Source organism: Homo sapiens, chromosome 2, assembly GCF_000001405.40.
Source record: "Homo sapiens chromosome 2, GRCh38.p14 Primary Assembly".
Lineage (NCBI taxonomy): Eukaryota > Metazoa > Chordata > Mammalia > Primates > Hominidae > Homo > Homo sapiens.
This window is the reverse complement of record NC_000002.12, coordinates 207,760,836-207,775,801: the sequence shown is the minus strand read 5'-3', so window position 1 is coordinate 207,775,801 and position 14,966 is coordinate 207,760,836. Positions and strand designations below refer to the sequence as shown.

The 14,966-nt window shown below is 48.2% G+C and overlaps 1 protein-coding gene across 1 annotated transcript, besides 9 other annotated features; it reads left to right on the top strand.

Annotated features, from left to right (window-relative positions):
• Positions 3,064 to 3,539: a silencer, noted in NCBI's record as "fragment chr2:208636987-208637462 (GRCh37/hg19 assembly coordinates)". NCBI's record gives its function as "represses an EF-1alpha promoter that drives an FKBP-Casp9 reporter gene in an ReSE screen in HepG2 liver carcinoma cells {active_cell/tissue: HepG2}" and the evidence as "EXISTENCE:reporter gene assay evidence [ECO:0000049][PMID:32094911]".
• Positions 4,011 to 4,831: an enhancer, noted in NCBI's record as "H3K27ac-H3K4me1 hESC enhancer chr2:208635695-208636515 (GRCh37/hg19 assembly coordinates)". NCBI's record gives its function as "activates a minimal SCP1, AML or CMV promoter by ChIP-STARR-seq in naive H9 embryonic stem cells {active_cell/tissue: H9 hESC(naive)}" and the evidence as "EXISTENCE:reporter gene assay evidence [ECO:0000049][PMID:30033119]".
• Positions 4,996 to 5,045: an enhancer, noted in NCBI's record as "active region_17045". NCBI's record gives its function as "activates an Ori minimal core promoter by ATAC-STARR-seq in GM12878 lymphoblastoid cells {active_cell/tissue: GM12878}" and the evidence as "EXISTENCE:reporter gene assay evidence [ECO:0000049][PMID:35858748]".
• Positions 5,596 to 6,275: a silencer, noted in NCBI's record as "silent region_12287". NCBI's record gives its function as "represses an Ori minimal core promoter by ATAC-STARR-seq in GM12878 lymphoblastoid cells {active_cell/tissue: GM12878}" and the evidence as "EXISTENCE:reporter gene assay evidence [ECO:0000049][PMID:35858748]".
• FZD5 (frizzled class receptor 5) lies at positions 5,896 to 13,204 on the top strand. Its single transcript, NM_003468.4, has 2 exons — positions 5,896 to 6,537; positions 6,808 to 13,204. Exon 2 carries the CDS (start codon positions 7,063 to 7,065, stop codon positions 8,818 to 8,820), a length of 1,758 nt encoding a protein of 585 aa, NP_003459.2. The 5' UTR covers positions 5,896 to 6,537; positions 6,808 to 7,062; the 3' UTR covers positions 8,821 to 13,204.
• Positions 6,616 to 6,675: a silencer, noted in NCBI's record as "silent region_12286". NCBI's record gives its function as "represses an Ori minimal core promoter by ATAC-STARR-seq in GM12878 lymphoblastoid cells {active_cell/tissue: GM12878}" and the evidence as "EXISTENCE:reporter gene assay evidence [ECO:0000049][PMID:35858748]".
• Positions 7,086 to 7,145: a silencer, noted in NCBI's record as "silent region_12285". NCBI's record gives its function as "represses an Ori minimal core promoter by ATAC-STARR-seq in GM12878 lymphoblastoid cells {active_cell/tissue: GM12878}" and the evidence as "EXISTENCE:reporter gene assay evidence [ECO:0000049][PMID:35858748]".
• Positions 7,503 to 8,060: an enhancer, noted in NCBI's record as "H3K27ac-H3K4me1 hESC enhancer chr2:208632466-208633023 (GRCh37/hg19 assembly coordinates)". NCBI's record gives its function as "activates a minimal SCP1, AML or CMV promoter by ChIP-STARR-seq in naive H9 embryonic stem cells {active_cell/tissue: H9 hESC(naive)}" and the evidence as "EXISTENCE:reporter gene assay evidence [ECO:0000049][PMID:30033119]".
• Positions 8,061 to 8,617: an enhancer, noted in NCBI's record as "H3K27ac-H3K4me1 hESC enhancer chr2:208631909-208632465 (GRCh37/hg19 assembly coordinates)". NCBI's record gives its function as "activates a minimal SCP1, AML or CMV promoter by ChIP-STARR-seq in naive H9 embryonic stem cells {active_cell/tissue: H9 hESC(naive)}" and the evidence as "EXISTENCE:reporter gene assay evidence [ECO:0000049][PMID:30033119]".
• Positions 8,652 to 8,711: a silencer, noted in NCBI's record as "silent region_12284". NCBI's record gives its function as "represses an Ori minimal core promoter by ATAC-STARR-seq in GM12878 lymphoblastoid cells {active_cell/tissue: GM12878}" and the evidence as "EXISTENCE:reporter gene assay evidence [ECO:0000049][PMID:35858748]".

Below are 14,966 nucleotides of genomic sequence, written 5' to 3'. Positions count from 1 at the left end.
TGATCAGAGATGCTGTAGGACATGTTGGGAGCTAGTCTGGAAATACCTGTGAGGAACTTGGGTTGGCTGGTGGCCTCTATCCTGAGCCAGCAAGTGTGCACATACATGGTTACTGATAATCAGGAGTGTGCACTTTGATCCTGGGCAAGTGACACGATCCCTGCTTTGGCACTAAATTTACCAATATCTAAGTGCCAGAGATAGCTGGTGAGAGCCTGCAGTGTTCTCAGAAATAAAGTACACCTGGAAAAAAATAGTTATTTTTTCCCTTGTTAAAGTAATATACAAAAGAAAATACAGAAAACTGGAAAAACAGAATGAACCTTAGAAGAAACTAATAATAATAGCCAAGACCTATAGAGACTCAGGGGCTAGACATGGTTCTAAGCTCTTTACCATATAAATATACTTACTCCTCACTATAGCTCTGGGAGGTAGATAACTATTTCTAACTCTATTTTACAGAGAAGTAAGGGGGCCTGGAGCTGTTAGGTGACTTGCCCGAGGTTGCCTAGCTTGTAAAGGCAGAGCCAAAATTTGGACTTAGGCTTCATTTAACAGGACCTGGTCAACCTCAGAGGGAGAGTTCATCTGAATTCAAGGACTGAATGCCAGTTGCTAAAATTGAAAAAGTTAGTATCAGTTGTCATTCACTCATTTATTTATTTCACAAATATTTATTGAAGGTGTCTAGATGTAACATAATATTCCAGGCTTGATTATCAAGATATTGAATAGTATACATACAAAGGATACCTGTTCATTCATTCCTACAGCATTGAACTCTCAAGAATCTCAACAAAATAATGCATGTATAAACAACATAAATGTAGAAAGTTTTTTTTTTTTTTTGAAGACAGAATCTTGCTCTGTCGCCCAGGCTGGAGTGCAGTGGCGCAATCTTGGCTCACTGCAACCTCTGCCTCCTGGGTTCAAGAAATTCTCCTGCTTCAGCCTCCTGAGTAGCTGGTACTACAGGCGCCCGCCACCATGCCTGGCTACTTTTTTGTATTTTAGTAGAGACAGAGTTTCACCACGTTGCCCAGGCTGGTCTCGAACTCCTGAGCTCAGGCAATCTGCCCGCCTCAGCCTCCCAAAGGGCTAGGATTACAAGCATGAGCCATTGTGCCCAGCCAAATCTAGAAAGTTTTAAAATGATGTAACTGTTCCCTGATGGCAAAAATCCAAAACCAATACTTCAAAACTTATGGAATGTCACACGCCTATTAGATGGAATATTTAGCATTATCCTTTGTATTTTCATCAATTAATAAACACAATTTGGACAATAATTCCAGTTGAATTTCATGAGTTTGGCTTCATCAAATTATGTTTTGTATGGCAGTAGTGTCTTCAACTCAGAAATTTGACATTTGGCGAATGGATGGATTAATCGATAGATGGACAGATACATGAGTGAATAAATAGACAAGGATGCTTAACAATGTTCTAAATGCTTAAACATTGCATCTTTAAAAAAATTTGGCCAGGCACAGTGGCTCACACATGTAATCCTAGCACTTCTGGAAGCTGAGGTGGGAGGATTGCCTGAGTCCAGGAGTTCAAGACCAGCTTCAGCAACATAGTGAGACCTGGTCTCTACAAAAAGTTTTTAAAAAATTAGCTGAGCATGGTGATGCATGCCTGTAGTCCCAGCTACTCAGAAGGCTGAGGTGGATCACTTGAGCCAAGGAGGCAGAGGTTGCAGTGAGCCAAGATCGTGCCACTGCATTCTAGCCTGGGTGACAGAGCACGACCCTGTCCCCCCAACCAAAAAAAAAAAAAAAAAATTCAGTGTTTTCTAGTTTGTTGGGTAATAAAGTATGACTCAGGTGAAAATTGTGAGATATTTTATTTTTTAATTGACAAATAACAATTGTATATATTTATGATGTACCACATGATGTTCTGACATATGTATACATTCTAGAATGGGTAAATTGAGCTAATTAACATATGCATTACCTCTACATATTTTTCATTATTTTTGTGTGGTGAGAACACTTAAAATCTACTCTCTTAGCAATTTTCATTTACAGTATGTTGTTACTGAACTGTCATCATCACGGTGTGTGAAAGTTTTTGACTCCATAGACTAAATAAATAACTTCAAGCAAGTCATCAAAGTCATTATAGCACCAGTTTCTTCATCTGAGGATTAAACGACGTCTAGCACCCTGCCTAATACATGTTAAACAGCCAGCATATTTTAAAGTGCCTTCAAAATATAGACAAAAAGCAACACAATACAATACAAAAACATATACGATATAAAATGTCTTGCTCTCTCCTTTTTTTTTTTTTTTTTTTTTTTTTTAGAGATGAGGTCTCACTATATTGCCAAGGCTCGTCTTGAACTCCTGGGCCCTAGTGATCTTCCTGCCTCAGCTTCCCAAAGCGTTGAAATTACTGGCATGAGCCACCTTGCCCAGCTGAAATAAGTTTCTTTCCATAAAGTTCTCTGCTATCACTATTATTATTAGAGATCTCCAAGTAAAATTAAGATTTTGCTGTTGATGAAGAAAAGGTTTACAAACCAGTAGATAACATTGTTTTCTTCAGAACCTTTACTGGAAAAGGGTCCTGATTCAGACCCCAAGAGAGGGTTTTTGGATCTCATGCAAGAAAGAATTCCGGGCGAATCCATAGAGTAAAGTGAAAGCAAGTTTGGTAAGAAAGGGCCGAGCGAGGTGGTTCATGCTTGTAATCCAGCACCTTGAGAGTCCGACCGAGGCGGGCGGATCACTTGAGGCCAGGAGTTCCAGACCAGCCTGGTGAACATGGCGAAACCCCGACTCTACTAAAAATGCAAAAAATAGCAGGGTGTTGTGGCGTAGGCCTGTAATCCCAGCTTCCTGGGAGGCTGAGGCACAAGAATTGCTTGAACCTAGGAGGCAGAGGTTGCAGTGAGACGAGCTTGCACCCCCACTGCACTCCAGCCTGGGCGTCAGAGCAAGACTGTCAAAAAAAAAAAAAAAAAAAAAAAAAAAGAAGGAAAGGAATAAAGAATGGCTACTCCATAGACAGAGCAGCGGCATGGGCCGCCGGTTGCCCATTTTTATGGTTATTTCTTGATCATATGCTAAACAAAGGGTGGATTATTCATGAGTTTCCGGGAAAGGGGCGGGCAATTCCCGGAACTGAGGGTTCCTCCCCCTCTTAGACCATACAGGGTAACTTCCTGACGGTTGCCATGGCATCTGTAAAATGTAAACTGCTTTGGCATTGGTGGGAGTGTCTTTTAGCATGCTAATGTATTATAATTAAGTTACAATAAGCAGTGAGGACGACCAGAGGTCACTCTCCTGGCCATCTTGGTTTTGCTGGGTTTTTGCCGGCTTCTTTACTGCGCCCTGTTTTATCAGCAAGGTCTTTATGGCCTGTATCTTGTGCTGACCTCCTATCTCACCCTGTTGACTTAGAATGTCTTCACCTCCTGGGAATGCAGCCCAGTAGGTCTCAGCCTTATTTTACCCAGTCCCTATCCAAGATGGAGTCGCTCTGGTTCAAATGCCTCTGACAGAACCGTGTGAAATAACACAAATATTCTGGCTAAATTCCAGTGTGAGTGATTAACATTCTCCAACTTCAAATAATTTTTATTATTAGCCAACACTTGTCCATCCCCAGTAATACACACGTTGCATAAAGAGCACAGAATGAGATGGGCCTCCCTTGGCATGTTCATAGTCTGCACATACTTTCCACTGAGGGCTTCCCTTTCTTGCTCACTGCTATGCCCACAGCTTTTCAACTCCCACTATTTTCAACCCTGGGATGCTTCCTGACCCAGAGTGGCAAGTAATTCCAAAACACAAGAGATAAAATATGAACACCTGTAGAATTCCAGAGAAAGAAAGATGTAAGGTATATTTATTCATTTATTTAATTATGTATTTTAGAGTTGGGGGTCTTGCTATGTTGCTCAGGCTGGTCTGCAAACTCCTGGGTTCAAGCCATCCTCCCACCTCAGCCTCCCAAAGTGTTAGGATTACAGGCGTGAGCTATGGCGCCCGGCCTTTTAAACGTTTATTAATAGTTTTGATATCCGCGAAGTGATTGATATTTGTTCCTTTTTAACTTGGAGGCTGGGATTAACACACGTGTTCTTCATTATTGCCCACAAAGCGTTGTTGATACGCAGGAGGGGAGTGGCACTTCCGCAATTTATTCTTCCAACCTGTGCCAATGGGATCCAGCACAGGAGATGGACAGTAACCCGCGGTTGATCTGGATCTAGTCCAGTTAGTCCAGTCCCTATCCCTTCAAGTGTCCCCAGGCCCTCTTGCCTATTTTCGCCCTTTGCCCAGTGGAAGGAAAAGTTTGGGGAGAAGGAAAAAATTTAAACCCTCTTCCTAGGCGTGTGAATGTATTTCAAGTATGCTAAATACCTCAGTCTTCCAATCTAATTACAACACATAGAAAAGAGGCATTTTTAGGACATTTAAAACTTGTAGCATAATTGCGCAACTGAAGAGCGCCGCCGTGTCCCCGCCATCGGTGCGCCCTCCGACCCCCCGCGGCGCGCAAGTGCGCGGCTTAGCAGCAGGCAGCCGGGGACGGAAGGGCACGGGGAGGCCGGCGCCCTGCCCAGCACAGAACCCTGGGTCGGTATCGCTTCTCTCTGCGGGCGACTTCGGAACTGCCTGGGATTATAAACCTCGACCAATAAAGGACTCACATCTTTCTGGGTCTTCTAAAGGCAGAAAGAAATCCATTTTCTTGTCACAACAAGATTTTGTTAAGAGATGCAAAAGTAAAGGTCGAAGCCAGGGAGGCTGCGATAGTATGGGGGGAGGGGCGGCTACGATGGTGAGTGCCGCTGACCAACTACCTGGGTTCGAATCCCAGGGTTGCCATTTGGGCGGCTACTATGTGCCAGGTGATCGGAATACGGAGGTGAACTTGCTTGCCGAGGTCGCCCTTTCTTGGGGGAACTATGATTAGCTCGGTTGCCTTGGCCAAGTCTCAGTCTCGGTTTCTTCACCTGTAGGAAGTACCTGCCTCAGAATTGTTGTAAGGAGTGAGATCTTGTCTTAAGATGTAAACGGGCCGGGCGCGGTGGCTCACACCTGTAATCCCAGCATTTTGGGAGGCCGAGGCGGGCAGATCACGGTGTCAGGAGTTCGAGAACAGCCTTACATGGTGAAAGCCCGTCTCTACCAAAAATACAAAAATTAGCTGGGCGTGGTGGCGGGCGCCAGTAATCCCAGCTACGCAGGAGGCTGAGGCAGGATAATCGCTTGAACCCGGGAGACAGAGGTTGCAGTGAGCCGAGATCGCGCCACTGCACTCCAGCCTGGGAGACAGAACAACTCGTCTCAAAAAAAAAAAAAAAAAAAAAGGATGTAACCGATTAACACTTTGTTGGGCACACAGTAAAGGGCTCAGTAAGTATCCTCTCTTCTTTCACACAGTTCCAAGACAGCTCGGAAGGGAGACAGCCACGCCTAAGAGTGATTCCTTGAGCAGTTCTTTCAAAGAAGCACTGAACTCTGTAAGGACGCTTAGCTGCAGGCAGAAAGGGCAGGGGCCCTGGGAGCAAAGGTGCATAAGCCAGGAAGTTACAGGAGCGAGTCCTGCACCCAGGGCGCGGGCAGAGAACTCCGGAGGGACTTCTGGCAAGGGCTTCCCGCCCGGGTGCCCAGAGCGGCATGATTAGCATTCGCCCCGCCCCCATCTCCTCCAGGCCCGCGATTGGTCAGCGCTCCTTGGCTGCCCGCTCCTGGCGGGGCCAGAGGGCGCCGGGGGAAAGGCCGAGCCCGCGGGGCAGTGGGCGGGGACGCGCGGAGAGCTTGGCGAGGCGGCCCACCAACCGCGCCCGGGCCTGAGGGGGCGGAGCCGGGGCGGGGCTTCCCGGCGGGCATTAGAAGCAGGTGACCCGGGCGGGGCGGGAGAGGGCAGCCAGCCTGCGGCCGTGAGTCCGCTGTGGTCGCCGCCGCGCGCGGTTCCGTGCTCGCCAGAGGTGGGCGAAAGGGTGCGAGAGCGCGGGGGAGGAGCCGAGCAGGGCACGTCCCGAGAGCGTCGCCACCGCCCCCAGGAGTCCACTGGAGCGCGGAGCCCCCTGCAGGGGAGGAGGCGAGCGGCGGGCGGGACGCGGCGGCCGGCGCTCACCATGCAGTCCCGGCCTGGCCAGCGCCGGCTGCTCGCGGTGCTGTGAGGCGGCGGGGTCCCACGGCCCCCGCCTCCCGCCTTCCTCCCGCCCAGGTGCTGCCAGGCGCGCTCGCCCTCCGTCCGGCTCCCGGCCCCGGGGAGAACGCACGGCCTGCCCCTGCCCGGCTCCGTCTGGATCATGCGGGGGGCTCCCGAGGAGGAGAGGGCGAGTGACCGGCCTGCGCCGCCCCTGTTCTGGGGGCGCCCCCCACTCTGAGTCGCCCCCACCTGCTGCCATGTGCCGCTGCCACGGGTACCCAGCCTGTCGCTAAACTTTCCGGGCGCCAGCCCGGCTCTGAGTCGCGCTTCTCAGCGGAGTGACCCAGGGACGGAGGACCCAGGCTGGCTGGGGACTGTCTGCTCTTCTCGGCGGGATCCGTGGAGGTGAGAACCTTCCCTTTCTCCCTGTTCTTCTCCCGTTTCCTGTGCCCTTTTCCGGGAAGCTGAGGGTTCTGGTCTCCGGGCACTGCCTGAAGGGCCCAGCTTGGAAAGAGAGGGTGGGGGAGTCGGTAGTTTGGTTACAGGAGGCGGAGCGGGGAGGAAAGGAAAGGGGTTAACTTAAGAGATTTGGAGACAGCTCGCGGGGACCGAACTGTTGACGCCTCTCCAACAGGGAGTGGTTGCAATCTTTCTTCTCCCCCTTCTTTTTTAAAGAGTCCTTTCCCTGGAATCCGAGCCCTAACCGTCTCTCCCCAGCCCTATCCGGCGAGGAGCGGAGCGCTGCCAGCGGAGGCAGCGCCTTCCCGAAGCAGTTTATCTTTGGACGGTTTTCTTTAAAGGAAAAAGCAACCAACAGGTTGCCAGCCCCGGCGCCACACACGAGACGCCGGAGGGAGAAGCCCCGGCCCGGATTCCTCTGCCTGTGTGCGTCCCTCGCGGGCTGCTGGAGGCGAGGGGAGGGAGGGGGCGATGGCTCGGCCTGACCCATCCGCGCCGCCCTCGCTGTTGCTGCTGCTCCTAGCGCAGCTGGTGGGCCGGGCGGCCGCCGCGTCCAAGGCCCCGGTGTGCCAGGAAATCACGGTGCCCATGTGCCGCGGCATCGGCTACAACCTGACGCACATGCCCAACCAGTTCAACCACGACACGCAGGACGAGGCGGGCCTGGAGGTGCACCAGTTCTGGCCGCTGGTGGAGATCCAATGCTCGCCGGACCTGCGCTTCTTCCTATGCTCTATGTACACGCCCATCTGTCTGCCCGACTACCACAAGCCGCTGCCGCCCTGCCGCTCGGTGTGCGAGCGCGCCAAGGCCGGCTGCTCGCCGCTGATGCGCCAGTACGGCTTCGCCTGGCCCGAGCGCATGAGCTGCGACCGCCTCCCGGTGCTGGGCCGCGACGCCGAGGTCCTCTGCATGGATTACAACCGCAGCGAGGCCACCACGGCGCCCCCCAGGCCTTTCCCAGCCAAGCCCACCCTTCCAGGCCCGCCAGGGGCGCCGGCCTCGGGGGGCGAATGCCCCGCTGGGGGCCCGTTCGTGTGCAAGTGTCGCGAGCCCTTCGTGCCCATTCTGAAGGAGTCACACCCGCTCTACAACAAGGTGCGGACGGGCCAGGTGCCCAACTGCGCGGTACCCTGCTACCAGCCGTCCTTCAGTGCCGACGAGCGCACGTTCGCCACCTTCTGGATAGGCCTGTGGTCGGTGCTGTGCTTCATCTCCACGTCCACCACAGTGGCCACCTTCCTCATCGACATGGAACGCTTCCGCTATCCTGAGCGCCCCATCATCTTCCTGTCAGCCTGCTACCTGTGCGTGTCGCTGGGCTTCCTGGTGCGTCTGGTCGTGGGCCATGCCAGCGTGGCCTGCAGCCGCGAGCACAACCACATCCACTACGAGACCACGGGCCCTGCACTGTGCACCATCGTCTTCCTCCTGGTCTACTTCTTCGGCATGGCCAGCTCCATCTGGTGGGTCATCCTGTCGCTCACCTGGTTCCTGGCCGCCGGCATGAAGTGGGGCAACGAGGCCATCGCGGGCTACGCGCAGTACTTCCACCTGGCTGCGTGGCTCATCCCCAGCGTCAAGTCCATCACGGCACTGGCGCTGAGCTCCGTGGACGGGGACCCAGTGGCCGGCATCTGCTACGTGGGCAACCAGAACCTGAACTCGCTGCGCGGCTTCGTGCTGGGCCCGCTGGTGCTCTACCTGCTGGTGGGCACGCTCTTCCTGCTGGCGGGCTTCGTGTCGCTCTTCCGCATCCGCAGCGTCATCAAGCAGGGCGGCACCAAGACGGACAAGCTGGAGAAGCTCATGATCCGCATCGGCATCTTCACGCTGCTCTACACGGTCCCCGCCAGCATTGTGGTGGCCTGCTACCTGTACGAGCAGCACTACCGCGAGAGCTGGGAGGCGGCGCTCACCTGCGCCTGCCCGGGCCACGACACCGGCCAGCCGCGCGCCAAGCCCGAGTACTGGGTGCTCATGCTCAAGTACTTCATGTGCCTGGTGGTGGGCATCACGTCGGGCGTCTGGATCTGGTCGGGCAAGACGGTGGAGTCGTGGCGGCGTTTCACCAGCCGCTGCTGCTGCCGCCCGCGGCGCGGCCACAAGAGCGGGGGCGCCATGGCCGCAGGGGACTACCCCGAGGCGAGCGCCGCGCTCACAGGCAGGACCGGGCCGCCGGGCCCCGCCGCCACCTACCACAAGCAGGTGTCCCTGTCGCACGTGTAGGAGGCTGCCGCCGAGGGACTCGGCCGGAGAGCTGAGGGGAGGGGGGCGTTTTGTTTGGTAGTTTTGCCAAGGTCACTTCCGTTTACCTTCATGGTGCTGTTGCCCCCTCCCGCGGCGACTTGGAGAGAGGGAAGAGGGGCGTTTTCGAGGAAGAACCTGTCCCAGGTCTTCTCCAAGGGGCCCAGCTCACGTGTATTCTATTTTGCGTTTCTTACTGCCTTCTTTATGGGAACCCTCTTTTTAATTTATATGTATTTTTCTTAATTTGTAACTTTGTTGCATTTTGGCAACAATTTACCTTTGCTTTGGGGGCTTTACAATCCTAAGGTTGGCGTTGTAATGAAGTTCCACTTGGTTCAGGTTTCTTTGAACTGTGTGGTCTCAATTGGGAAAATATATTTCCTATACGTGTGTCTTTAAAAAAAAATGTGAACAGTGAACGTTTCGGTTGCTGTGACTGGGAAGTTGTTGGGTGTGCTTTTTCAGCCAGCTTCTCCTTCCACTGCTTAAAGTGTCCATGATTCTTTAAGGTGAGCTGCAGTTTATAGCCCCAGGTCATACCTAGGAGGGGAGCATAATGAGCTCAGGGCCTCCCCAAAGTGACAAGGTTAGGGAGTGCTTAGCGGTTTTGTGTTCAGCCTTAGCTTTGTTTATAGAGGGAGGTTCAGTTTCTTTTCTGTAGTGCTTGTAATAATTCTCACTCCTAACAGCACCATCGTTGTGTCTTGAATAAGTTAGAGGTAGCATTATAGAGGATCTGGCATAAATATTTGCAGTAGTGAGAGCCTAAGCGATGGTGATTGGTGGAGCTTGAATTTTAGGCTGGTGAGATGGCAGCTTTGTGCCTGAGAGGTAGTGGGTGGTTCTTAAGCTTCAGTGATCCCCTTTTTTTTTTTTTTTTTTTTTTTTTAAGGAACTTGTGTTATAATTTTGGTAAAAGTATAAACCCACTCCCTCTGGACAATACTTAGCGACAGTTGCTAAAGGGGGCTCCTTTTTAAATGTAAGGACTGAAATGGATATACTTCTAATAAGTAAATTTCCAACACTTATTTGCTCCACCCCCTCCCCCCTCCCCCCTCCCCCTTTATCATGTTAAACAGCCTTTTTGCTTTTCTTATTCCTCCTCTCCTGGAGAGCTGTGATTAGAAACCACACCCACCCTTGAATGAAGTGCTTGAACTGGGGGAGGGAGGCTGGCTACCTGTGAACAAACATTGGCCCAAATAAGGGAAAATAAGTGTTCCTGGACTTTGGACTAGTTTATAGCCAGATATTCCAAGAGCAGCAAGACGTTGCTCTCTGCCGTCTCTGAAAACAAAAGAGATGCATAACATGCTTGCACAACCTTTTAAAATATAGATCAGTATAGTGCTACCTCTATAGTTTTCTTCCTCTTCTGAGAAAGCCTGTATATTGATGATCACACACACACACACTTTGCAATTAGAGAATTTGGTTTGCTTTACTAATCTGTTTAACTATTCCTTCATTCATTATGAACGCTTATATTGATGAACATACACACAGAGGTTTCTTTGCTATTAGAAAATTCTGTTTGCTTTCCTAATCTGTTTAAGCATTCATTCATGAAGAGTGTGGGGCCATTACTGGGGAAGGGGGGTGACAGTGCCTCAGCCAGCAAAATACCAATGACCAGGATTGGGGACTAAATTTAGGAAGCTAAAATGGCCAGAGCAATTAACATTTGAGAAAATCCTGTCTAGGAAAACAACTTGAGTGTAGGCATTTGTAATTCACTTATACCAAAGTTGGAAAAGTAAAATTTAAGCCTAGGACAATTTTTACTTCATGGATGTTAAATAGACAAATGCATAGTTCCCAGGGGGAATTTAAACACTTTACTGGTGGGAAGAAACCTAGTATTAAAGTTGTAAGGACTCTCAAAAACTTCACATTTATTAAAATGCACTGCTCTTACCCAATTTATCCTCTGAATTAAAATTTCAGTGGATTCTACAAAACCTCGTACAAATAGCTACAGAACTTTGTGCCTATTTTATTCCTCTATTTATTCTTCTAGGAAGAAGCCTCTTCCTAGAATCTTGAAATAGATCCCTTGACTGAATGCCAATTCCTCTCCTGTTTTTCAAATGAGAGAACCTTTTCTGATCACCTTGACCTTTTCCCTCATTTCATATGTCTTCCCAGAAAGTAGACAGACTGCTCTGCTGCCTTCAGTCATTGTGCCTCATTTGGGTTGTCCCTCCTTCTTTGTGGAGAAATCTGGAAATGATGCACAGTGTATCCAAAAGTTGTGGGATGAAGTGGATGAAAGTGATTTAATTCATTTTTAGAATTTTTTTTTGTTTTGTTTTAGCAACATGCTGAACAACTAATTTACTTTAAAAATAAGCCAGTTAAAACAAAGGACGCTAAGCCCAAGTGGGGGGCAATATTAGTCAGGATCTTTGGGGTCTAATTCCAGACCAACTTTCAGAAGCACTTCTTTGTCTCTGTTCTCACCTCTGCTGTCCCTCTCTTCCCTCATCCCCTAAGAGAGACAAAGATAAAAGCCCACCTGCATCCCTAAGTCTTACTGAGATCAGCCACCCCAGGGGAGAGAAACTGGATCTACTTACAGCCACCCCCTGTTTCCATCCATATAGTTACTTCCCCCAATTTGCATGTGATTATGGAAACAAGTCATGCTCATGAAAGCAACTGTAAAATAAAAGGTTATGGAGTAGTTCAGCAACTTCTTCACAGCCAGCTTTGTGGAGCTGGGGAGGACTTAGGGCCCATTGGAGTCTCTTATGTGTACAGCTTCAGGGCTGTCCCTTTCAGTTTGATTTTAAGCAATGCCTCACTTCATAGCTTAGGGGGTAAGGATTCCATTCAGGTAGGTTGTCTAAAGGAACTAATGGGACCTCTCAGTGAATTAGCTGACCAGATTTTAGGAAATCTTTTTAATTTCTATGATTTTCCTTCTCACATTTTGAAATGGTAAAATTGACTGGAAATAATTTTTCTTGGTGCCTTATTGGTTTTCCTTGCAAACCTTTCTCATATTTTCTCATGACCATTGCCAGTGACCAAGGCCCATGTGTGTGTTGTGTGTAATTGTGGGCATGTACAAGCTTAAATAACGTGCCGACAGCACTGTTTCAAAGTTGGTATTCATTAGGCTGTTGCCTCCTGGGCTGGAGCTGCGCTAATCCTGACACCGGCTGCCAGGAGAAAACCTCATGGATCACACACCAAACCTTAATAACAGCATCCGTGACCTGCACTCTCCAGTACAGAATGGGAACCCCAGAGCTAGGAAATGTAGTTGTATATTTTAATGAACTGCTACCCCAGCCAAAGAAGCTTCTTTCACTTTTGTGCTCTACAGAAAGCCCAAGGGGGGTAGGAGGGACAGAGCTTTGAATAACTGCTTTCTAACACTAAATGTGGCCAACAGGACAGAGCACATCACACGTATAGGCAGGTGTGAGGGACAGTGGCTAAGAATTGCCTGCTCCCTCTGCATGCTCTTTCTTGTTTCCAAAGTCCAATCAAGTGATCCTGGGAAACAAATCTGTCTGGATTGCGGAGGGTGGTTCTGAAAGAACTGCCAAGACGTTAAAGAAGGGTGAAGAGTAGGCAGAATATAAGTAGCTAACCTGAGTCAAGACTCTCAAAAGCTAGCAGCCTGATGACAATAGGATTTATTTCAGCCAGGATAGTGTCTGTCTGTGAGTGCATCATTTTAAGACAGTATGACTTCATGTTGTTACAAACTATGTATAGTATGTATGTTTTGTGGGTTGTATATATACATAATATATATTATATATATATATGAGAGATTTGGTGACTTTTGATACGGGTTTGGTGCAGGTGAATTTATTACTGAGCCAAATGAGGCACATACCGAGTCAGTAGTTGAAGTCCAGGGCATTCGATACTGTTTATGATTTCCATATATGTATAGTGCCTATCCCATGCTGTAGTCACTGTTATGTTAAATCCAGAAGTTACACTAGAGCCAGCGATACTTTATTTGTAGACAATCAATTTGAATCCATATGTTATTACTGGCAGATGATACATGATTACAGTTCTGAATCTGTAACACTTACAAAAGGAAACCCAGAGCAGCTTGATGAGTTTTTGTTTCTGCTTCGTTCCTGGGAGTCAGTAGAAACAGCAGTTGTATGTGGTTATGTTAGTCTCAAGATACTTAATTTGTTGACCTTACTTCAGAAAAATTTTGTATGTATTATATTTGTGGGAAGGTAAAATAATCATTTGAGATTTTTATCAAATATGAAGATTAGTTATTTATGAAAAACAAAGAAATGTCTATTTTTCTTTGTTCCCAATTAATGTAGATAAATTTTAAAATGCATTAAAGTAATGGTAAAGACAATAAAAAGATGCTGTAGAAGTCTTTTTCTCCTCATGTTTTTATAGAGAGACATTGCTTTCTAAGAGTATTCGAGGAGATAATACGGATTCTAACTTCATAATCAGGTTTTTCAGATGTACTTAAAATATAAGCAGCAAAAATTTTATTAGTAAGTAAAATCAAGCAAATTCCAATCACCAGAAACAGAACTAGTTAAGAAACATGTTTTACTTGAATATCTTTCCTAGGTCTCACTCCTGCCGATCCTGTGATTGTCTCATGAGTCACTTGATGAAGGCAGATACGTGGAAGAACAGAGACTTTGCCTGAGATTGCGTTCTATTTTATAAACCCTCCATTTACACTGAACCAATTTGATTAGAGATGATGCTGTTTTGTGCGTCCGGTTGGAGGGCAGGAACTCCCAAAACTTTGTCATCCAGCAGTTGGATCTGCAACTTGGTATTGCGCTCTAAATACAAGTCAGGGAGCCCAGAAGAGACAGTAACACTGACTGAGCTGGCTCTTCCCTGTTATCTGGACAGATGCTTAGTAAGCCTGAGATACTATTGTTGGACCACCTACTGATGCTGCTTTGGCAAAATGCAGATTAGCCACCATCTACCAAACACCACCTCATTTTAATGCCTGGGATGTCAGTGTTCTCCACCAACGCTCTGAGACATAAGTATGTGGGAGAACATGGGTAATTAGCTTAAAATATTTGTAGGAGACAACATAAATCCAGTAAGAAGTTAGCATTATGAGAGTGTGTAATTCAATGTCAAGGTGAACACTAGGAAGTTTATTACATTGATGCATAAGGTAGTTAGGAGAGGCAGACTAGAAAATATAGTTGAGTTGAATCCTAAGAGAAGAGCAACTGTACCTTACATGTCCGGGACACAGTAGTTAGCACATCTTCCCCATGCTTTCTTGTCACTCATTTTTCCCCATTGGAAAAGGGGGCAAAGGGCAAAGTCACAAGCTGGAACAGAGAGAGGGACTGTTGGGCTTAGAAGGTTGCAGAAATAGGCTGGGTGCGGTGGCTCACGCCTGTAATCCTAGCACTCTGGGAGGCCAAGGCAGGCAGATCACCTGAAGTTGGGAGTTTGAGACCAACCTGACCAACATGGAGAAATCCTGTCTCTACTAAAATTAGCCAGGCCTGGTGGCACATGCCTGTAATCCCAGGTACTCGGGAGGCTGAGGCAGGAGAATCACTTGAACCTGGGAGTCGGAGGTTGTGGTGAGCCAAGATCACACCATTGCACTCCAACCTGGTCAATAAGAGTGAAACTCCGTCTCAAAAAAAAAAAAAAAAGTTGCAGAAATAGGTGGGCCCAGGGTAATACTGGTAACAATGGTTCTTTTAGTGATTTAGTTACACAGCTCGTTAGCTTGTCTATGGATGGTAACAGGGTTGAGAGGCAGAGTGGTTATGAGCATGGATTTGGGAGCCAGACTTAATAGGAATTAAAATCCCAGCTCCACCACTTATGTGCCATGTGATCCTGGACACAACCTCTGGGTATTTCAGTTTTCTCATTTGTGAAAAGGGAGACTTATATTTTAGGGTTAAAAAGATTTAAAGGATTGACTCAGATTAAGGCAAAGTTAAGGTAAGTAAAACAATGGGGGAAGCCGCTGTTCAGACATGGAATGAAAGGAGATGGAGAGATTAGGTTTTCAAATTTGTATTTGCGTAAGAATCATTTGAGATTCATGTTAAAAATGTCAATTCCCAGATCTCAGCCCCAGGAATTGAGATTCAGTAGCTCTGGGGCGC

Bases quoted from the DNA above. Each gene is read 5' to 3' on its own strand.
- FZD5 (NM_003468.4), top strand. From the start codon at position 7,063: ATGGCTCGGCCTGACCCATCCGCGCCGCCCTCGCTGTTGCTGCTGCTC.